The 22147-nt window shown below is 52.7% G+C and overlaps 6 annotated features.

The window, feature by feature from the left end:
- Nucleotides 440–599: an enhancer, noted in NCBI's record as "active region_19492". NCBI's record gives its function as "activates an Ori minimal core promoter by ATAC-STARR-seq in GM12878 lymphoblastoid cells {active_cell/tissue: GM12878}" and the evidence as "EXISTENCE:reporter gene assay evidence [ECO:0000049][PMID:35858748]".
- Nucleotides 3346–4274: an enhancer, noted in NCBI's record as "H3K4me1 hESC enhancer chr3:13557470-13558398 (GRCh37/hg19 assembly coordinates)". NCBI's record gives its function as "activates a minimal SCP1, AML or CMV promoter by ChIP-STARR-seq in naive H9 embryonic stem cells {active_cell/tissue: H9 hESC(naive)}" and the evidence as "EXISTENCE:reporter gene assay evidence [ECO:0000049][PMID:30033119]".
- Nucleotides 5648–6537: an enhancer, noted in NCBI's record as "H3K4me1 hESC enhancer chr3:13559772-13560661 (GRCh37/hg19 assembly coordinates)". NCBI's record gives its function as "activates a minimal SCP1, AML or CMV promoter by ChIP-STARR-seq in primed H9 embryonic stem cells {active_cell/tissue: H9 hESC(primed)}" and the evidence as "EXISTENCE:reporter gene assay evidence [ECO:0000049][PMID:30033119]".
- Nucleotides 13275–13878: an enhancer, noted in NCBI's record as "H3K27ac-H3K4me1 hESC enhancer chr3:13567399-13568002 (GRCh37/hg19 assembly coordinates)". NCBI's record gives its function as "activates a minimal SCP1, AML or CMV promoter by ChIP-STARR-seq in naive and primed H9 embryonic stem cells {active_cell/tissue: H9 hESC(naive and primed)}" and the evidence as "EXISTENCE:reporter gene assay evidence [ECO:0000049][PMID:30033119]".
- Nucleotides 19868–20491: an enhancer, noted in NCBI's record as "H3K4me1 hESC enhancer chr3:13573992-13574615 (GRCh37/hg19 assembly coordinates)". NCBI's record gives its function as "activates a minimal SCP1, AML or CMV promoter by ChIP-STARR-seq in primed H9 embryonic stem cells {active_cell/tissue: H9 hESC(primed)}" and the evidence as "EXISTENCE:reporter gene assay evidence [ECO:0000049][PMID:30033119]".
- Nucleotides 20492–21114: an enhancer, noted in NCBI's record as "H3K4me1 hESC enhancer chr3:13574616-13575238 (GRCh37/hg19 assembly coordinates)". NCBI's record gives its function as "activates a minimal SCP1, AML or CMV promoter by ChIP-STARR-seq in naive H9 embryonic stem cells {active_cell/tissue: H9 hESC(naive)}" and the evidence as "EXISTENCE:reporter gene assay evidence [ECO:0000049][PMID:30033119]".

Raw genomic sequence — 22147 nt, forward strand, 5'->3', positions numbered from 1 at the left:
AACTGAAACCCAGAGAGAGCAGGAGCCTTGGGCCGAGCAGGAGCTGGGACCCACGGGGAGGTGGGTTCAGCAGGGCAGTGTCCACAGCGAGTAGAGCTTGGGTCTAGCTGCTTGGGTCTAGCTGTGCTGCCTTGGGTGAGGCAACCACCATCTTGAGCCTCAGCCGTTTCCCCCATCAGATGCCCTGGCACGTGGCAAATGCTCAGTTAATTTTAGCTAATAATATTACCTAAGTCAGAGTGAGAAAGGACTTTCTCATAGCCAGAACTGTTCACAGAGCACCATGATAGTGGCCAGTGCAGAAGGAGCGCTTGCTAGTTTTGGCACACTCTAGGCACCACGCTTGTATCAAATGGCTTTGTCCTCACGTAACTATGTTTTGCAGATGAGGAAAGGGGACTGGGGGAGGTTTGATGGCCCCCCAAGGCTCTCCCAGCCAGGGTGGTAGAGCCCGGGGCTGACACCTAGCTGGCCGCAGTCACCCCCACACTGGGTGCCCTGTGGGGTGTGACCTCTCACACCCCTCAAAGGGGTGCAAGTGGAGGCTTGGGGCTGTGGGAACCATCTGGGACTTCCCAGTTTCTGGGACTTTCCTAGCCCCTGCCAACCCTGAGAGGCTGAGTTTCTCAGGGTGTGCCCTGGTCTTGGAACCAGAGGGAAGGGATCAAGTGTGAGGGGGGCTCCTGCTGTGGCAGTGGGGAGTGTGCAGGGGCCTTGCCAGAGGCCCGCTCCCTTCTGGGACCCTCCAGCCAGTGTGCGCATTCCACCGGTTGTCTCGGTAACCGATACCAGGCGGCCAGACAAAGTTACCGTGTGTGTCTGGGAGGCTATTTTGTCTAATATGCTAAAAGGCCTTTGGAAATTCCTGGAGCCCATCTGGTCCTAGTTACCCCACAATATTGCTGCCTCTTCAGCTCACAGACAAGGGAACAGTTTTATTTCTCCTTTTGGAGCTCAGGAATGTGCCTTAAACACGAGCCGGCAGACGCCCACTTGGTGCACGAGTTCCTTGGTCACGTGTCACACTCATCGTCCTTTAAAAAAGGACTGCTGCTCTTTCCCCTTGGCTCCCCAATCCCAAAGGGTCCCTCCCAACCCCATTACCTAGAGAGTGATGTGGGGAGGGCAGATGCTTCGGGGGTGGGCCCGCCTGACTGCGATGTGCCCGGCCTCTGCGTTTTCTCTCCTGTGTCCTGGGGATGGGAACTCCTGAGAATGGAATGCAGCCTGGTGTGTGGTAGGTGTTTGGTACATGCAGGTTTCCCAGCTGGCTCTGTGAACTTAAGTAGGTCCCTTGACCCATCCAAGCCCCAGTAGCCTGCTCTGTAAAACCGGGCTGGAAAGTGTGGTACAGGAGTTTAGGAAGGTCTCAGCCACACCAGGGGATGTGGATGATTGGTCCTTACTCACCCGGCGCTTCTGCCCACCCATGGCTGCCTCCAGAGGGTGTGAACACATCCAGGGCTGCACATCTGAAGCCTCTCTTGCGGGCAGAAGAGATGTCTTCAGGTCCAGCTGCTCCCATGCTTTTTGCGGGGCCGGAGTGTGTTTCTTCCCTGGAGTTCTTGTCCCTTTGGGTTTTTCGGGTTCCTCTGGCCGCAGTGCCCAGAGGCTGGGTGTGGCCGCTCCAGGCTGGCTGAGTCTTGGCAGCTGCCCTACATGGTTGCCTGGGGCCAGGTGACATCCTTCTTGCTTCCTTGAAGAGCTCCCTCTCCCCAGTCCCAGGCTGGAACAGTCACAGTGCCCTGCCCACCTAGGCTATGATTCCAGGGGCTGTGTAAGTGTGTGATTCAAGCTCAGATAACCCTAGACCAGGCTTCTTCCAGGCTGGGCAGGCCTGCACCTCCATCCCCTGCATGGCTAGACGTGGCATGTACTTGTTTTATGAACCATGAGCTCAGTGGCTTGTGTGCCCTCCAAGTGGAAGCTTTAAGAGCCAGTGTGCGATTCTCCACAACCCCTTTGCCACAGCGATGGAGGGAGCACATTTCAAGCTGTAGCCCCCGACAGTCTGGGTCCCTGAAATCCCAGATGACTCAGGTCTCCCAGTCAAACCAGGGCTGACATCCAGTGTGAGCGATAAATAAACCTTGATTGTTTAAGCTCCTGATGCTTAAGGGTGGTTTGTTTCTGCAGCATAACCTTACTGATATCAGCCTGGCTGATACACTTTCCATTTCCCTGATCATAGGGATGGTTTAGAGATATCATGTGACTCAAGAGTCCTTACATTACTTTTACATTTTGAGTGGAAGAGGAAGGACTTTATCTTCTGAGTTATCAAGTTTTAGAGAAGCCATATTTCCCACCACAAACAGAAAGCCTGTCTGAGGTATGAAATAGTAAAACGAAGGGAGAAAAAGAAAAAACATGATGGAAAAGAGGGAATTCTGGTGATGTCAAGATAGGGCTGCCATGAGCATCTGCACAGGTTGTGCACTGCACAACTCTCGAGGCTGCTGTTACACGGTAATCACAGTAGATTTGTGTATTGATTAAAATAATTTTCTAGTAGGCACTAGTAAAGTATTTTGAAGAAGTGGAGCCTTTTTCTAATTTGCAAACAATTGCTGCAAAGGCTAGTGACCATGCCATAATCAAGACCCTGATTTTAATCCTTGAGTCCCCAGAGCTTCTCTAGCTCGATAAGTACTTGGTGTAATTTATTATTTTGGTGAATTCCCTTTGTTGTTAAGTTCTGCTCACAGCAGAACCATTGATAACTCAGACACTCACAAGATGCATCAAGCTTATTTTCTACTTTCCAGAGCAAACCCTTAGCGCTTTTAGAAATAACAGCTCAACAATAAGAGAGAGACAGAACAACCGTTAAATGCAGACATAAGAACAAGAATAACAACAAAATATCAGTTTGGGGCCATTTGTGTAGGTGCAAGTAACGTTCCCTATCTCACTGAGCACCAAGACCTTCACTGTACTGGTCTGTGGCCTGAAAATGGTTCACCATGGTAATTAACGCAGAGAAGACATTGTGTAGACTTCATGTCCTCTTAAAATAGTTAAATTATAACTGTGTTGTTGTCTAAAAGGAAAGACCAAAATTATCTAGAGAGTTCTCATCTGTGTGGCTTAAGCTAGATGAATAACGTATCATTGTAAAAGGATAGTGTCAGCCAAGGTCCAGCCCCCAGCTGTCCCCAGTGTAGGAGGTGGCCCCACTGGCAGCATCCCTGACACCACTCTGACCTGCTCAGGACAGCTCTTTCTCACTCCCCTAAATGCCAGGAGTTTCCAGAAAAAGTCTGGGGGAGGCTGTGGGCTCTGGGGTCAGACACTCTGGGGTGGGGTCCCTTTCCAGCAAGGTGACTCTCAGCAAGTGGTTCCCCGACTCGGAGCCTCGGCTACCGCTTCTCTAAAATGGCAATGGCCATACCCACCTGGGGGGCCATTGGGAGGGTCGGGCGGGCCTGGGAATGACCCAGCACACAGTAGGTGCTCAATGAGAAGCAGCTGGCACCAAGGTGGGATCTGGGTGAGTTCAGAGCCCAGGCACGAGGGCTCAGAATCTCAGCTCGGCCTTGCTGAGTGCTTGGGCGATTCACTTCGTCTCCCAGAGCCCCAGTTTCCTCAGCTCAAACTGAGATCCCCAGGGAGTTGAAACAAGCAAGCATTCTTGAGACTGTGTGTTTCCTTGCCTGTTCTTCCTGCCAGGCAGTAAAGGGGCAGGATTGGGTCTGTCCCTGACTCGACCCCCGGAACAGGGCCTGCGGTGCTTAGTAGGCGCTTGGTAAAGACTCAGTCATTTGCTCCAGTCGGGAGGGAAGTTGGCTGGTGCCTGCTGGGGGGCTCCCCCTGCCCTTCTGACTGTGGGGAGCAGGCCCAGAGCCGACTTTGGCCAGGCCGGGGTAGAGGCCTGCTTCTGCCATCCCTGGTGGGCCCCAGCGTCTCCTCTGAATCCCCACCCTGCTCCTGAGCAAGTGCTCCCATCCCCCACCCTGCTCTGGCGGCTTGGCATAGGTGGGACACCAAGCCTGGAGCTCCCGGCTGCTCCAGCCACCCGAGCCAGCCCCACAATTGTTTTTCCACCTGGAGCGTCCAAGGAGTTGCTGGCAGCCAGGCCAGGCGGGGGAGGCGGGGGGCGGTGTTGGAGGAGACATCAGTGGGCGTGGGAGGAACAGGCTTCACCCTTTCCATCCACAGGGGTACCGGTACTGGGATAAACTGGACGGCACTGGTCAGGGCCCACTTTCCTTTGACCTTAGGTGAATGACTTAACCGCCCCAGTCTCATTTACTTCATCCATAAAATGGGGATAATATTAGTAGCTGCCTCTTGGGGTTGCTGTGAGGAATAAATGCGTCAGCTCATGTAAAGCACTCAGAACCATGCCCAGAAGCAAGTGGTCTTGATGGCAGCCCTTGCTATAGGCACTCTAGGCTGGATGCGAGGGTTCTGCCGCACACAGCTGCCTGGTGTGGGCCAGCCACGTCCACTGTCTCTGCGTACCATGTGCACCCACAGCAAGCCTCCGGAGGTGACAGCCCCTCACAGAAGCTGCAGGAAGTAGAAGCGGAGTGGGTGGCAGCTCCCTCCCTTGCTTCCTCAGCTTTCTCTCCCCTTCTTTCTTCCACCAGCCTGGCAGGTGCCCCCAGAGGCAGGGGATGGGTCCCCTGACCTCGGGGAGGACCCCCAGCCCCATCAGCCGCGGAAATGGTGGACCCGCGGGCCCTGGGCTACTGCCATGCTGCAGCCCTCGGAGGAACTGAGCAGGGACAGGGCCAGCCTGGGTCACCCGATGCAGCTGCACAGATGTCAGGCCCGGCATAGCCGAGGTGTGGTCAGGCTAGGTTCCCCTGGGCCCCGCTATGGGAACAGGCTGTCCCGACAGCCTGGCTGCCATCCCTTGCTGCTGTTGTTTGGAAGATAGAGCAGTCATCAGCCCCAGCCCCCGGCAGCCCCACCCTCCCCTCGGCTTCTGCAGCTCCCAGGCCTGGGACAGTCCCTGGCTGACCCAGGTTGTGCACTGGGTGGCCTGAGGCAGGCCCTGACCCTCTGTCGGCCTCCATCTTTTACCTCTACTGAGAAACCGGGGGCGGAGCCCTCTGTCCCTGCTGCCCTTCCAACTCAAGGCCCAGGAAAAAGGACAGGAGGCACATGGTGGGGTCCGGGGCCAGGGTGCTCACATGTGCTTAGTGAGCACCAGGAGCCACCTTAGAAGGAAGGTGAGGGATCTGTAACCTTGGTCAGGACAGCCACACAGGAACTGTCTCCTGGACCCAGGAGGAGCAGCAGGACCCAGCCTTCTAGGCAGCAAGGGAAACTGAGGCAGGAGCCCAGTTATAGGGCCTAATAAACTTGATCCAGGAGGAGGCAGCTACTGCGTGGAGACTTGGGCTCCAAGGTCCTTGTGAATCCAGGGTCCAAGACCATCGACCTCCAGCCCTACCCACTGATGGGAAGGAGGCTGCCATCTTTCCCATGCCCGCTCAAGTGAGGCTCAGGCCCCAAGCATGGCAGGCTGGTTTCAGGGGCATTGAAAATGGGTCCTGGGTTCAATCCTGCCTGTGCCACTTCCTGGCTGTGTGACCTTGGGCAGGTCCTTTCTCTCTTTTTCTCCATTTCTTCTATAAAGCGGGACAGTAATGCCACCAACACAATGCCGTAGAGGTAAAGCTTGGCTGTCATGTACACCAAAGGCTTGGTCTGCAGTCTGACCTCTGTGCCTCTGTCTTCCTCCACCTCCCCTTATCCATCCAGAGGGCCCGAGGAAGGAAGCAGGCACGGGTGGGGTTTGCTCTGGCACTTGCTTCGGAGTCCTTGGATACCTCCAGGCAAGTCCTTGATGCTTTTCCCAAACGATGCCAGCCCAGGGATGGATTCTCTGCCTATGGGAACTTGGGTCCATCCCAGGAATGTAGGCCAGACGGTGGGGAGGAGAAAGTGCAGGGTGGAGGCTCGGCCAGCGTTCTACCAAGGTCTCTCGGGCACGAGGTGAAGAGTGGGCACCCGCCTGCAGAGGCAGTGCCAGGGACTGTCGGCCTGGGCTCAGCACAAATGTTGTGGCTGCCCCCCCAAGGGTTGGTGGCAGGAGGCCCGGGGAAGCCTGCAGGCGGGAGCAGATATGTTCTGCTTGGAAGGATGCTTGGGACAAAGCCAGCTCCGGGAGCTCCTCGTGTGGCTGGACACATGGGGCAATTCCTGGGCTAGGGGAGGAAGGCGGCGCCTGCTGAGGGGAGGGAGGGCATCTTGCCAGGGTTGGCAGAGTCTAGGGCCTGGGAGCTGGGACCAGGCATCAGGGCCTGGGGCCAAGGCCTTGGGAGGGCTGGCGAGACCCAGGCAGGCCCCAGCCCGTGGGCCTCGCAGACCAGGACTCTGGGTTCACTGTGCCTTGGGTGTCGCACACTCAGCCCTGAGTTGTCCTCAGGGCTGGTCCTTCCCTTCCCCGAGGCTGACCCTGGAGGGGCGGCTTCCTGGGTTGGGGGAAGCTTGGTGACAGTGCTTCGGCTGACTTTGTCTCCAGAGTCCCCTCTTCCCTCCCCAATGACTCCAGACCTCTGGGGGTGGGCGAGGCCGGGTATCCTTCCCTCCTCTGATACCCTGGCCCCAGCATTACTGGAAGTCCTGCCCCCAGGTCCTATGACACACAGGGCTGGACTGTTTGGAAGACATTCTAATGAGGACAAGAGGGAAATAAACACGGAGAGTCTGGGGAGTGGGACAATGGTGTGTGTGCGTCTGTTGGGAAGGCCTTCCTGCAGTGGTGCTGATGCTGCCGCCCGATACCCACAGGATTAGGCTGAGACTGCACTGCCCCTACCCCGAAACCCCATCTTTGCCGCTCCTGCCTCCCTGGCTGCCTGGCAGGCCTCTCCCAGCACTGCGGGAGTTCTGCCCCCATTCTCCTCCATCTCCTCTCCCAAGAGGCAGCCAGGCTGAGATTGGGGGCCCTTTCCCTCTTTGGTCCCCCGTCAGGAGGTGGGATGAGGTCCCCAAGGAGTCCCCACCCATTTGCAGCCTGAGCATTGGAGAGACTGCTGGGGCTGGGGCGGGGCCAGGGAGCTGGGCACCCACAGCGACCCCAATGGACCTCAGAGCGCCGCAGCCCCTGTCTCAGCTGCAGGAACATGGAGAGCGTGGGTGGAGCTCCATGCTAGCTTGCAAGTCCTCTAGCTCCGACAAGAATCAAGCCATCAGCTTCTCTTCCTCCTAGAGAGGTCCACTGGCTGCAGAGCCTCCAAGTGTCTGGACCCAGAGCTTCTAGCCCACCCTTGAGCAGCCCAGCAAACTCAGTGCTCTGAAAGCTCAGGGGCTTTCGGCCTGAGGAGCTATTCCAGCCCAAGAGGGCTTCCTGGAGGAAGAGACGTTTGAGCTAAGCATTCTAAGCAGAAGGAACAGCATGTACAAAAGCCCAGGGGCACGAGAGAGCAGGCCCCTTCCAGAAGTGGTGGGTGGCCATGGCTAGAAGCCTGGGAGACTGAGGACAGGGAAGAGCTTTGGTATTTTGGATGCCTTCTCCCCACTTCAGGCCTCATCTTGTTTTGGTCTTCCCCAGCCCCTGACCTGGGCCCCTCCCTGGCTCTGCTACTTGCTTGTTGTTAGTCTTGAGCCAGTTACCTTTTCTCTCTGAGTCTCAGTTTCCCTATCTGTAAAATGGGGTGGAGCCTCCCTCCTCCCACAGCTGTTGTGAGGAAAACACCAGCATGAACTTGGCTAAACCCTCTCCCAAGGCCTGGCACAGAGTAGGGCTAACAAGGGAAAAGTGAAAGAACAAAACAGCAACATCAACATAGTGTTTTCCCCTCCTTGCCTTCCGTTGGAACTTCTGTCCTCAGGAAACCTCAGTCCCATCTCCAGGGAAGAATAGAGATCCTGGGCCTGAAGGCTTTTCTGTTTTGGCCTCCCTGTGTGATGCCAAATGAAACCCACCTCCTTCCCGACCCTCAGTTTCCTCATCTGTGAAATGGGAGGGAGGAACCACAAGGCGGTTTGCAAATGACAGCCAGCCCCGCTGCAGTGTGTCCTCCTTTCTGTCATGAGGAAGACCACCTGGATCGCCTACACTGGGACACTGAGGCCCATGGAGAAGGACGGAGTCCCTGCCCTGCACATGCTGTGTGGCCCTGACAAGTCCCAACACTCCCTAGGCCTCTGTCTCCCCGCTCCTGCTCTTTCCAGGCTGTTCTTGGAACTTGCTGGATGGAAGGGACTCCAAGGCAGGGGGCAGAGAAGGCTGAGGGGAGGAAGGGCGCTTGCCCTGGGCGCCCAGGTGCTGCTGGGGTGAGACAGTGCTGAGCTACCTCAGGGGGCCCCCACCCCACCTGCATGTCCCTGCCCCCAAAGGCCTTTCCACCCCTTCAGCCCCACAAGGCAGGTATCAATCCAGAGATGACCCTGCTAGGCCCAGGGAGAGGCTGGCAGTGTAGCCAGGAACTCTGGGTGACTGCTTGGTACCAGCATCCCTTCCTGACAGCCCCACGGGACACTGGACTCTCAGGCCAGAAGCCCCACTCCCAGAGGGGCCAGTGTGTGAGCTGCTGGGAAGAGCAGCTGTCCCGGGCAGGGAACCTGGGGGTTCCTGAGAAGGGAGGTCATTTTACTACGCTCTCTACTTCTGCTAGAAACTTTCTGAAATAAAAACATACAGCGCAGACCCTGGAGAGCAGCATACACCTGCCCATTGTGGCATGAACCCTTCCACTCAGGCCTTGGTTCTTGACTGTTTTCTCCATGAATACATTAATTATACGGAAGTGATCTGCCCGTATGGGTGTAGATGTGGCAATCTGGTTTACAATTTTGTGTCACATAAATGTGAGCCAAGAGGCAGAAACAACCCAAATGTGCATCAGCTGATGAATGGATGAGTAAAATGTGGTGTCTGCACCCAGTGGAATATTATTCAGCCATAAAAAGGAATGAAGGACTGATGAGCCCGACCACGTGGATGAACCCTGGAAACATCATGCTGAGTGAAAGCAGCCAGACACAAAAGCCCACAGAGTGTATGCTTCCATTTAAGCCCACAGAGTGTATGCTTCGATTTGTCTCCAATGTCCAGAATGGGAAATCCATAGAGACAGAAGCTAGATCAGCAGTTGCTAGGGCGGGGAGTGGTGAATGGGGAATGAGTGCTAGTGGACGTGAGATTTTTTTGTTGGGGTGATGGAAGTGTCCTAAAATTGATTGTGATGATGATTGTATAATCCTTCAAATATTCTAAAAACTACTGAGTTGTTCATTGTATTTGTCTGTTCTCATGCTGCTAATAAAGACATACCCAAGACTGGGTAATTTATACAGGAAAGAGGTTTAATGGACTCACAGTTCTGCATGGCTAAGGAGGCCTCACAATCATGGTGGAAGGCAAAGGAGGAGCAAAGTCACATCTTACATGGCGGCAGGCAAGAGAGAGCTTGTGCAGGGGAACTCTTCTTTATAAAACCATCAGATCTTGTGAGACTCATTCACTATCGAGAGAACAGCATGGGAAAGCCCACCCTTCATGATTCAATTACCTCCCACCAGATCCCTCCCACCACACATGAGAATTATGGGAGCTACAATTCAAGATGAGATTTGGGTGGGTACACAGCCGAACCATATTATACACTTTAAATGGGTGAATTATATGATATGTGAGTTATATATGAATAAAGAGGTCTTTAAAAAGATATGTACTTTATGTGTTAATGTGAGTATGCCAGTATTCAACTATAAGGTGTTTTGTATTGGAAATTGTGAAAATAAAAATTATGGTCTTGGAGTCAGTGTGCCTGTGGTCCTAGGTGTGAGACACCCTCCCTGAGCCTCAGTCTCCTCATCTGTAAAGTGGGGATAATACTAGCACTTCTCTCACAGGGCGCTTGTGAGGATTCGGAGGGGGAAGCAGTCCGGGCTGCCACAGCTCTTACTGTTATTGTCGATGTTATCCTTGTTGGGCTGTGCAGGGAGGCCCTGCCAAGCTCTGGCAGATTTCACCCTGAGTTGGGGCCCTGCTGCCATGAGACAGCAGGTATCTATCGGTAGTACCTGAGAGACTTGGGTCCTCTCCTGACTCTGTCCTGCACAGCTGTGTGCCTTTGGGCAGGCTGGTGAGCTCTGGAAGCTCAGTTTCCCCATCTGTGAAATGGGAATGAAGCCAGCAGAGCTCCCCCACCTCTTCCTTATGTCCCCTCCTCAGAGAAGCCTCCCCTGGGCCCTGTTTTAAAAACAGCCATCCTGCTACTCCCTCTTCTTTTTCCCCATTGTATTTTTTTTTTCACTTGCCACTTCTGGACACAGATGTGTTTGTTTACCTATTTGTTTTTATTGCCTTTCTCCTCCCCCTGGAATGAGCCCCATGAGGGTCTCAGGCAGCACCGGGCACATGGCCAATGCTTGGAAATGTCTCTGGAGTGTGGAATGTATCCCAGGTGTCGTTGGCCAGGACAGGGAGCTAGCGTGTTCCCGCCTCAGGGCCTTTGCACTTGCTGTTCTTTCAGTAAGTATCCACATGATTTGCTCTCTCATTTTATGCAGTTCTTTGCTTACCTATCACCTTCTCAGGGAGGCCTTGCCTGATGTGCCTCATATTTACCCTCCCCTCGTGCCAGCCCCGCCCAGCTTCCCCCTGCTTCCCGTGCCACCAGCTGACCTTCTGCGTGTTGGCTTACTGATGGGCCTGCTGGTGGTCTCCCCACACAGTGGTCAGCCCCAGGCCAGCAGAGATCTGTGCGCCTTATTGCCTGCTGGGGCCCCTGTGTGCATGGTCAGCACTCAGCAAGTATGTCTTGCATTAATGTCATTTATTTCCTGGAGGAGTAACCATGCATGGAAACCCCTTGAAAAATACCTGGAAGCATAGACACCAAAACTCATGACCGTGGGTCTCTCTGGGCAGGGAGGAGAAGCCCTGATTGTCCATTCTGTGTTCTAAGGAGAGGCAGGCAACTGTTCAAGGGGCTGGGCCACAGCAGAAAATGGGGGACAAAGACCCTGACCTTCGTGGGGCCAACAGTCCAGTGGCAGAGGCACAAATAAATCCATGCAACACAGAGGTTCCCGAAGTGTGGTCCGCAGACCCCCAGGAATCCCAAGGCTCTCTTAGAAGATCCACAGGGTCAAATGGTTTTCATAATGATCCTAAGATATCATTAGCCCCTTTCCTTCACTGACATTTGCTCGAATGATGCAGAAGATGAGGAGAAAAGCACAGTCGGGGCCGTGGTGCACCTGTTGGTGGCCCCTATAGTCTTCACCAGCACACCTGGGTCACATCCTTGCTAAGCGCACAGACTAGCAGTGGTGTTGAGCCTGACCCTTGAGTGCACATCTTCTGAATATTCTTCGTGACAAAGTGGGAAGTGCACATAAAGCAAGCCCAAGTGTGATGGTTCTCAGAAAAAAGGCACACGTGAGATGTTTGAGTTGTCAGCCCAAATAGCCACGTTTATATAGAACCCAAGGGTTTCATAAAAATGGCAAGCTATGGTTATTCAGACTTGGTATCGTGGCAGATATTTTCTTGAAAATGATCAAAATGAGCTGTCGCTTCAAGGAAAACAACTGACAGGAATTGTTGCCAGTGAAAAGATTCCAGCTTTCAAGTGAAAATTAGAATGTTAGAAAACTGGCCAGGTATGGTGGCTCACACCTGTAATCCCAGCACTTTGGGAGGATTGCCTGAGCCCAGGAGTTTGAGACCAGACTGGGCAACATAACAAGACCCCATCTCTACTAAAAATATAAAAATTAGCTGGGCATGTTGGCGTGCATGCCTGCAGTGAGCTGTGATTGGGCCACTGCACTCTAGCCTGGGTGACAGAGCGAGACCTTGTGTCAAAACAAAAAAACAAACAAAAACTTGTACCAGCACCAGGAGCCAATACTTACAGACTTTTCTGATGAGATTGGCAGGGATATCAGCAAACTGTGATGTTTACTTATTGAATAATAAGATATGTCAACATTTGGAAGGTGAGTGAACCAATATTCTTTAAATGATCAACCCATGTTGTTACAATATGTGTGAAGGTAAAAAAAAAAAAAAGCCATTCAAAGAACAAGATAGACAGGCTGGGCGAGGTGGCTCACTCCTGTAATCCCAGCACCTTGGGAGGCCCAGGCAGGTGGATCATTTGAGGTCAGGGGTTCAAGACCAGCCTGGCCAACATGTTGAAATCCCATCTCTACTAAAAATACAAAAATTAGCCAGGCATGATGGTGTGTGCCTATAGTCCCAGCTATTTGGGAGGCTGAGGCACAATAATCTCTTGCACCCAGGAGGTGGGGGCTGCAGTAAGCCGAGATCGCACCGTTGCACTCCAGCCTGGGTGACAGAGTGAGACTCAATCTTAAAAAACAAAACAAAACTCCAGGTGCAGTGGCTCATGCCTGTAATCCCAGCACTTTTGGGAGGCCAAGGCAGGTGGATCATTTGAGGTCAGGATTTCAAGACCAGCCTGGCCAACATGGTGAAATCCCATCTCTACTAAAAACTCAAAAATTAGCTGGCGGGAGTGGCACGCGCCTGTAATCCCAGCTACTCGGGAGGTTGAGGCAGGAGAATCTCTTGAGCCTGGGAGGCAGAGGTTGCAGTGAGCTGAGATTGCGCCACTGCATTCCTACCCGGGTGACAGAGTGAGACCTGGTCTCCAAACAAAAAAAAAAAGACAGATGGATTTTCGTGTAACCAAGTATGAAAAGCTCTTCATATGGTTCCAAATTCTGCATCATGAATAAAGTTTAAGAAATTAACACTCGTTGAGTTTTGGTGTTATAGCAAAGAAAAATATTCACAAAGATCTGAAAAGTCTATTAAAATGCTCCTCCCTTTTCTAACTGCATATCTGTGCAAGGCCAGATTTTGTTCACATAGTTCAATGAAAACCACATATCGCAACGAACTGAATGAAGAAACAGCTATGAAAATCCAGCTGTCTTCAATTAAGTCAGACATTAAAAGGATTTGCAAAAGTGCAAAACAACACCACTTTTCCCACTGATTTCTTTGTTTTGAAAAATGTAGCTTTTTCATAAAAATGCTTTATGTGAACATGTATTATTTCTTTTAAAAAGATTCTCTTATACTTTGATAAATATTCTAATAATTCATCTGTCTTAGTTTTGAATACAGTAAATATCAGTTTTCATAACTCACATGAACTACAGCTCTTTGAAGTCCTTGATAATTTTTAAGAGTATGGAAAATAGGCTTGCCAGATACAATGGAAGTGTGTCCTGTGCAATATTTGGGAAGTAGTTGTTCTAAAAAAATTATTTGTTATTTATTTGCAATTCAAATTGAACTGGGCATTCTGTACTGTTATTTATGTAGTAAACCCGGTGATCCTACTAAAGGGATCCTGAGAGCAACATATTTGAGAACTGCTGGTTGGGAAGAAAAATAAATTGGGTAAGAATTCAGAGTGTTCCGCGTGATCAGGGCCTGTGTCATCGGGGCCAGCCACACGGGGAGGAGGGCTCTGGTTCGGGGCTTGGTGAGGGTCAGGGCCTGGAGTCTGGATGGGGCTTGAGGAGCCGGAGACACAGCAAGGAGGGAGGGAGATGTGGTCTCCTGTTGCGCTCAAATCTGTTCCAGGAAGGAGGACACCTCTATGTCCAAGAAGTGGGCTTGCAGAGAGGCAGGAACAAGCCCAGACTTGGGAAGCTAGTGCGTGGCATCAGGAGCAAACCCTCTCAGGCTTGACACAAAGCCCACGCCTGGCCTTTCTAGTTTCTTCTCAGCTGAGGACAGGGATGAGGATGGGAAGGGACGGCTGGCACCGGGCCTGGAGGTGGTGTGCTCGGCAGGGAGCTTCCTTCCTCCCTGGCTGAAGAAAAGGCAGCCATGGGGGACAGGGAGGAAGGGCAGCAGAACAAAGGCCTTTTGTGCAAGGGAGGGTTTCGGGCTGGCCCTGTCTGCACACAGGATTAGGGTCACCAGTCTGGTGGGCAGGCACGGGCTGACCCAGGCTGCCTGCCGGGCACGGCGTCCCTGCTGGTGTGGGGCTTGGCTGCTGCGGCACATCTGCGATGGGTGGACTTACAGCCATCTGGGCTGGGAAAGTGAGAGGGACCCTGACGAGTGTCCCTCTGGGGTCACAGGGCAGAGCCAGAAATGTCCTCATCCCCAGAGACCTCCTCCTCGGGTCAACCCTGCCACTACTTAGACCAGGGGTGGTGATTGCCCAGGCGGGACATAGTCAGGGTGAGGACCGAGGTGGTCTGGTGTCTCCAGGTGGGGGCCAGGGTATATGCAACAGTTTCCAGCCATAGGATCTGTGGGTTAGGTCAGAGGGTTAGGCCTGGGGGCGTCAGGCAGGACCCTTCCTCACAGCTAATGAAGTGCTAGGGGTGTGGCAGGCTAAGGTGAGAGGCAGGAACCGTCTGTCCTGGGACAGCCAGTAAGGGGTGCATTGGCTGCACCTGATGTGAATCAGTAATGAACCCGGCCAAAAGCCAGGCTGCTTTTTATTATCACCATGCTCTGAAAAATCTAAAAAAAGGTGAATGATAGAATATTGCTCCTTGTGCTAAACAATTGCTGTAGATACTGTTAAGTTTTACTAACATGTATGTATGCTCACATTAGCATATTCTGGTGACTTTTTTTTTTTTTTTTGAGATGGAGTTTCACTCTTGTCACCCAGGCTGGAGTGCAATGGCACCATCTTGGCTCACCGCAATCTCCGCCTCCTGGGTTCAAGCAATTCTCCTGCCTCAGCCTCCCAAGTAGCTGGAATTATAGGCATGCTCCACCATGCCTGGCTAATTTTGTATTTTTAGTAGAGACGGGGTTTCTCCATGTTGGTCAGGCTGGTCTCGAACTTCTGATCGCAGGTGATCCTCCCACCTCAGCCTCCCAGAATGCTGGGATTACAGGCGTGAGCCTGCGCCCGGCCGACTTTTGTTTTAATAAGCATGGAGAACTCAGTTATGCAGTCAGCCCCGAAACATGCCCATTCAATGACAAGCATGTGTTTGGAGAGTCTGTTTGTGGTGATTTAGGATCATTTGAGCAGCTTAATATAAACTTGTGTCTCTAGTTCCTGGTGCAGCTACCTACTCTTGCATTTAGGAAGTGGGTTTGAAATAATCAGTGACTGTGCAGTGATTAGAAAAAGAAACATGGCTGAGCCTGGTGGCTCATGCCTGTAATCCCAGCACTTCGGGAGGCCGAGGCGGGTAAATCACCTGAGGTCGGGAGTTTGAGACCAGCCTGACCAACATGGGGAAACCCCGTCTCTACTGAAAATACAAAATTAGCCAGGTGTGGTGGCACATACCTGCAACTACTCGGGAGTGTGAGGCAGGAGAATCGCTTGAACCTGGGAGGCAGAGGTTGCGGTGAGCCGAGATCGAGCCACTGCATTCCAGCCTGGGCAAAAAGAGCAAAACCCGCTCTAAAAAAAAAAAAAAAAGAAAGAAAGAAAAACAAAGAAACAAAAATTGAGTTATTTCAGTTCTTTCTCTGTGCCCACATGGAGTTTTTATTCGAGTTTAACATTTAAAACAGTGAAACAAATGCAAACAGAGTGAAATGGTTTTGCTTGGCTAGTGCACATTTTAGTTCATCCATACAATGTTTTCATTTTGTGATTACTACCAAGAATAACTGTAAAAGTGACCTGCTCTGAGTGTCCGATGTGCTATGTCTGCCACTGGGCCAGAGTAACCACAGAGAGAACCCGGATGGGGTGCAAGACCCTGAGGTATGCCAGGCAGAAGGTCACTCTGAACCCCAGGTCTGGGCGGGGAGGCAAGGCAGGGCCGGGGAGGGGGTGCTGAAGGCACAGCTGAAGTAGGGGTGGGAAAGAGGGCCAAACAGAGGCTGGAGTGCCACAACAGGCCAGGGTGGAGGAGTCTGCCAGGAGCCACCCCACTCCCACCTTCTGCACGTCGCATCTCTGTTAACAGGACCCTTGGCTGCTTCTGACGTCGCATCTCTGTTAACAAGACCCTTGGCTGCTTCTGCTGGCAGACAGCCCGGCCGCCCTGGAGCTGCAAATAACAGCTATTCTGCCCATGCCTCACCTCCTTCATCCTTTCTCTGCAATCTTTTGTTTGACCACAAGGGCAGAACTGGATGGAAGAGGAGGCCTAAGGGAAGGGAAGGAACTCTGACTGAATGCCCTCTCTGCAGCCCCTTGTGGCCTGGGCTTCTCCTGGGCTTCCCCACCCCTTTCCCCCCTCCCCACCCCTTTACTCCGTCCCCACCCCTTTCTCTTGGCTTCCTTCCTGGCTGGCTTCACTCTCCTGTCCCCAAGGTTTTGCCTTATCCTCTGGCTTTTTCCACCGATATCTGGACATTTCCCTAAATCCCACATGTTCCCTTCCCCTCTCTCTGTTAGAACCCCCAAGCACAGCTCCAGTCCCCATGACCCCCGTCTTTTCATCCTTGATGCCCTGGCCACTCCTCCCTGGACCCCAGCCCCTCCCTAGGCTGGTCACCACCATCACTTAGGCTACTCTCTCCACTCCCAATGACACTTCCAGCTCACCCCTGCTCCAGCTACTCCTCACTCCACGCAGCTCCTGCTGTGCAGCCACCTCTGTGCTCCAAGGAGGACCCCTGGGTCAGATGAAGACCTCATTGCCTCCCCAAGGGCCTCACCACACAGTGGGGTAAGGAAATCCCTCTTATCCCATCCCTCCACCTATCTCTCCGTCTCTCTGTTTCCGCATCCATCCATCCTTCTATATCTCCCTCTGTCCTCCCCTTCCTTCCTCTATTCATCTCTTTCTCCATCCATCCATCCATCCGTCCATCCAACCATCCATACCCTTTTCCCTCCATCCCTCCTGCCCTCCTTCCATTGAGCCATCCTTCCTTCTTTCAACCCATCATCCATCCATTTCTCCCTCTCTCCCTTCATCTACCTATTCTTCTCTCCCTCCTTCCATTCCTGCACCCATCCATCCTTCTATCCCTCTCTCTATCCAGCCCTCTCTCCCTGTATCCATCCATTCTTCCCTTCCTCCAGCCACCCATCTCTTCTCATCCTTCCCTTCCTCCATCCCTCCCTTTATCCATTTATTTATTCAATTTTTCCCACTTTGTGCCAGGCTCTGGCTTGGGCATGGGGGCTGAGGCCTGATTCAGACATGGTCCTTGCCCTTGCAGAGCTCAGTCTCATGAGAGAAGGGTAGTAGGAATACATCCAATGGAGAAAGCCCAGGGCAGAGAGCAATGCCTAAACCGGGCTCTGTAGGGTGAGTAGGAGTTTACCAGGAGAAAGAGTGAGTGCAAGGCATCAAGACAGAGAGAAGAGTATCTGCAAAGGCAGAGGTGTGAATGATGTGGTCTGGCTGGAGGGGCAGATGTTAGTAAATGGGGAGGCAGAGCAGCTGAGCTTGCTCACAGGGACCTTGAAGGCCAGGCTGACGCATTCAGACTCCATCCTGAAGGTGGTGGGGGCCCAGGAAGGCTTCTGGGCAGGGGAATAATGTAGGCAGGTGCATGCCTCCAGAAGGCCCTTCCTGGCCACAGTCTGGGATGCAAACTAGAGAGCAGTTTGGGATGCAGGTGAGGGCCTGTGGATGAGTCAGTACATTTCTCTCTGAGCATCCAGTCCCAACTTCCACAGTCAGGTTTTCATTTGGTGTCTGCTTGTAGCCTGAGAGTCCTGGGTTCAAGTCCTGATTCAGCCACTTCCTTAACCTTTCTGCCTCAGTTTTCTCAGCTGTAAAAATGGGAAGATGATGTCCTCCACTCCCCCAGCCTCAGCTAAAGGCTTACAAGCTCCATTGCTCACAGGGTCTCCGAGAGAGGGAGAACGAGTCCAGGAGGGCCAGCAGTATTTGGCCCTCCGCTCAGCATGGAGGAGTACAGGGAAGGGCAGGGAGCGGCAGGCCAGGCCCTGGCTAAGGGGCCACGACGTGGCTCCAGCTGTGGGAATGCAGGCCAAACCAGACCCGCTGGCTTTTCAATACAGAAAGCAAGAAATACAGATTCTTGAACTGTCGTGAGTTTTAAAGTATCCTGGCAAACAAAATGCTTTTGTGGCCCAGATCGGGGTTGCTGTGAAGATAAGCTGAGGCTGCACGTGTGGATGATGCCAACAAATGCAGCCCTTGACTCTTCTGCCCACCCACATCCCTCCCCTTCTTAAAAACAAGCCTCAGAAGGACTGAAAGCAGTCCTTCTGCAGCAAATCTCCCCAATCTCAGTGTCTGAGCTAGTGAGAGAGGAGCCAGTGCTCCTATGGTTTGACATAATTGCAAGCAGGAACTTGAATAGATATTTGTTCCCCTATGTTCACAGCAGCATTACTCACAACAGCAAAAAATGGAAGCAACCCAAGTACCCATCGACGGATGAATGGATAAAGAAAATATATGGTCTATTCATACAATGGAATATTATTCAGCCTTAAAAAGGAAGGAAATTCTGACCCATGCTGCAACATGGATGAGCCTTGAGGACATTATGCTCAGTGGAATAATCCAAGTCACAAAAGAACAAATACTGTATAATTCCACTTACGTGAGATCCCTAGAGGAGTCAAATTCATGGAGTCAGAAAGTAGAATGGTGGCTGTGGGTGCCAGGGGCAGGGGAAGGGGGAACGGGAGTCAGTGTTTAATGGGGACAGAGTTTCAGTTTGGGAAGAGGAAAAAGTTCTGGAGCCCGATGGTGGTGATGGTTGCATAGCAATGTGAATGTACTTCATGCCACTGAAATGTACATTTAAAAATGGTTATCATGCTAAATTTTATGCTGTGTGTATTTTACCACAATTTTTAAAGAAAAGTAGCAGAGGTTCATGTGAGGAAGGGAAAGGCAGGCCAGGAAACTGGTGTGTGGCACTGAGTCAGCTCTGCCTTGCTCCCCAACTCCAGGGACGGCCACCTCTGTAACAAGATAAGGCCTCGTTGAGGCTGGACAGGTACATTTAGTTCCACCAGGGTGGGGCCCCTTGCTACTTCTGTGTGATGGGCCTGGCATGAGAGGTGTTGAGGGACAATTGCCTGCAAGAGCAAACTGGTCTTGAAATAGGACCTGTACACTCATCTGGCCCTATCTTTAATTTTCTGTAGAAAATGAAATATTTAAATATACTTTATGATACTAAGGCAGTTCTTTCCACTGTAGCTTGTAAGGTGTTGCCTTCTGTTTTTTTTTTGTTTTTTTTTTTTGAGATGGGGTTTCACTCTGTCACCCAGGCTGGAGTGCAGTGGCATGATCGCAGCTCACTGCAGCCTCCACCTCCCAGGCTCAAGCGATTCTCCCGCCTCAGCCTCCCAAGTAGCTGGGATTACAGACGCCCGCCACCTTGCCCAGCTAATCTTTGTATTTTTAGTAGAGATGGGTTTTGCCATGTTGGCCAGGCTGGTCTCGAACTCCTGACCTCAGGTGATCCGCTCGCCTTGGCCTCCCAAAGTGCTGGGATTACAAGCATGAGCCGCCATGCCCAGCCTGGTGTTGCCTTTATTATACACATTTCCCTGTCTCTACTGAGGTGATCATATCACTTTCCTCCTTTTCCTTGGTAAGCCAAATGCCTTGCTCTTCTAGGGTTAAGCCAAATTTGCCTTCCTGGATACCTCCTGCTGGCGGGTGATGAACTGCCTTCAGAAGCGGCTGCCCTGGGTTTGTTAGTGTTTGTACTATCGGGTGCTGCATCTCTGTCTCTGCATGAGGCTGGCCTGTGCTTTCCTTTTCTCAAACTTACAACCTCCTATTGCTCAATCACCCCCACCCTGCTCCCCACCCAACCCTTGGCCATGTTCACCAGCTCAGCCATCTGAGCTGGACCAGACACCGAGACCAAGAGCTTGGCCGGGGCTGTGGGGCGAAGCTTCCTGGGCCCTTGGTGGGGATGAGCTGGGGGGGCCTCTGGGGAGGGGAGTTAATGATCCTGGGCACGAGGCCGGTGGCCACTGGGACATAGTCACCGAGGGTGATGGAGACTTCCCTTAGCCTGGAGAGTGGCCATCATGGTGCGTGGGTAAGTGGGGGGCTCCTGTGGCTGAGCCTTAGCCAGACTCCCCTTCCCCATAACCCCCCCATCCCTGGCTCTCCTCCCATTCCTCCTTCATGAAGGGAAGCTTCCCAATCCAAGCACCACCAGTTTTGGGGCAGCCTGAACTCTCTGAAGGGAAAGAATTCTCTTTTCCCTCCATCGGTGCTGTCCTCCTGGGCTCTATGGATTCTGGTGTGCCATAATCTCCATCTGTGGGACATCCCTGCACACTCAGATTGAAAATCCCCATCAGGCTTCTGTCAACTTCCACGCTCCCCCCTCCCCACTGGGTTTGGATGGATGCGGCCTGAGGCACCAGGGATGGGGTGGGGAGGGTGTGGCCTGTCTTTCCCTGAGGCTGGAGACATTGGGGAGGAGGCCGAGTTTGACTCTACTGGCCAATTTCTGTCTCTGTGCCTCCTGGCTGCACTGACCAGTCACCAACGCCAACAATGCCTTTGGTATGGCCTTTGTCCACCAGAGCTTTTGTGATTCTTCCAGAAGTGTTATTGGGGGAGGCCCTCTCTGCATTTGGCTTCTGCTGGACCCCATCCCACCAGCTCAGTTCCTACTCCCATCAGGGTCCCCTGCTGCTGTGGTCCCCCTATGGCCAGGCATCCCTCTCTGGTGTGGAACCAAGGAGACAGCCCATGTCAGGCTCCCTACTGTGGTGACATTTGACTTTCAGAAACGCATGGGACCAACCCTGCCACCCCCCCTTGTCCTGCGGCTCTCTCCAGTTCTCCTCTCCCCGTGCCGATGAGCCCAGGACACAGCACTGCCAGTCTGCTGCAGGAGATGACACCCAGGCTGAGAGGGAGGTGCCTGTCTCCCCACCTTGCAGGTGCCTTCAGTCTCCTGGAGATTTGGCTTTGGGCTTTCCTTTGGCTTTTTTTGGAGCAAGAAGGGAAGTGCCACTCCTGCCCCATAGCAACAGTTCACAAGCCTGGTGATTTCTGAGCTCCTTTTTTCTTCCTGGATGTCTGCATATTTAGGCTGGTAGGGCTGGCTGAGGAGAGGATCTTGGGGTGTTGGCAAGGGCTGCTGGCTCTCTTTAAAATGTGGGCGTCTGGTTGCTTCTTTGTCCTGAGTTTTGGGTCCTAGCCACTAATTCCTGCAAAAGGAAAGGGCTCCTCAGCACCTCGTTCTCCTGTAGGAGGCTCAGGCAAGGCTGGTGACCTGTCTAAGGCCCTGTGGTATGTTCTGATTCCTTCGGAGACTGGCATTACCACCTCCTGATTTCCAGATATGAACAATCCCTCTTGTCTTAACATCTGAGGACCTAAAAGAAGACCTGGGGCAAGGATCTGGGTGCAAGTAGTTTATTTGGAAGATTATCCCAGAGAGCACAGTGACGGTGTGAGGCAGGGAAAGGAGGAAGCCCACAAAGGGTGTGTTAGGCCTGGCACAGGGGCCACGCCTGTGATCCCAGCACTTTGAGAGGCCAAAGCAAGAAGATCGCTTGAGGCCAGGAATTTGAGGTGGCAGTGAGCTATGATTGCGCCATTGCACTCCAGCCTAGGGACAGGGTGAGATCCTGTCTCTAAATCGGAAAAGGCATGTTAATGAATGTCATCACTGGGAGCCGCTGGAGCTCAGTCCAGCCAGGATCCAAAGCGACAGTGCAGAGCACAGCTCAGAATTGTCCCAGCAAGAGACCTCCTGCCCTGTCCCCCATTGCTTGAGAGGGGCTCCTGGAGGCACTAACTCAGGACATGCCTGGGCTGCCCAGTCAACGTGGGCCAGATGAGCTCTTGCAAGCAGTGGTGTAGGTGACAAGTCATCTGTATATGCAGGAGCCAACCATGAGGCTGCAGGTGACCTCCAGCACCAGCTGAAGGACTATAGGCAGGATGTTGTCTGCACTGAACTACTCTAGCCATGCCTTTAGAGACCAGCAACAAAATAAACATCCCTGGGGGAACAGTGCACCACAGCCCTGTCTTTCATCAGCTACCGACGCCTGTATCATAAATGTGTGCACCCTGGCTTTTCACAAATTGAACATACTTGTGGAACTGGCACACAGCTCAAGAAACAGAACCTGACCAGCGCCCCCAATCCCTTTTATGCCCCTTTACAGGCACAACCACCCAAAGGGTACCTGCTCCCAACTTTTTTTTTCTTTTTTTTGAGATGGAGTCTCACCCTGTCACCCAGGCTGGAGTGCAGTGGCGCCATCTCAGCTCACTACAACCTCTGCCTCCTGGGCTCAAGCGATTCTCCTGCTTCAGCCTCCTG

The sequence above is a fragment of the Homo sapiens genome, chromosome 3 (assembly GCF_000001405.40).
Source record: "Homo sapiens chromosome 3, GRCh38.p14 Primary Assembly".
Lineage (NCBI taxonomy): Eukaryota > Metazoa > Chordata > Mammalia > Primates > Hominidae > Homo > Homo sapiens.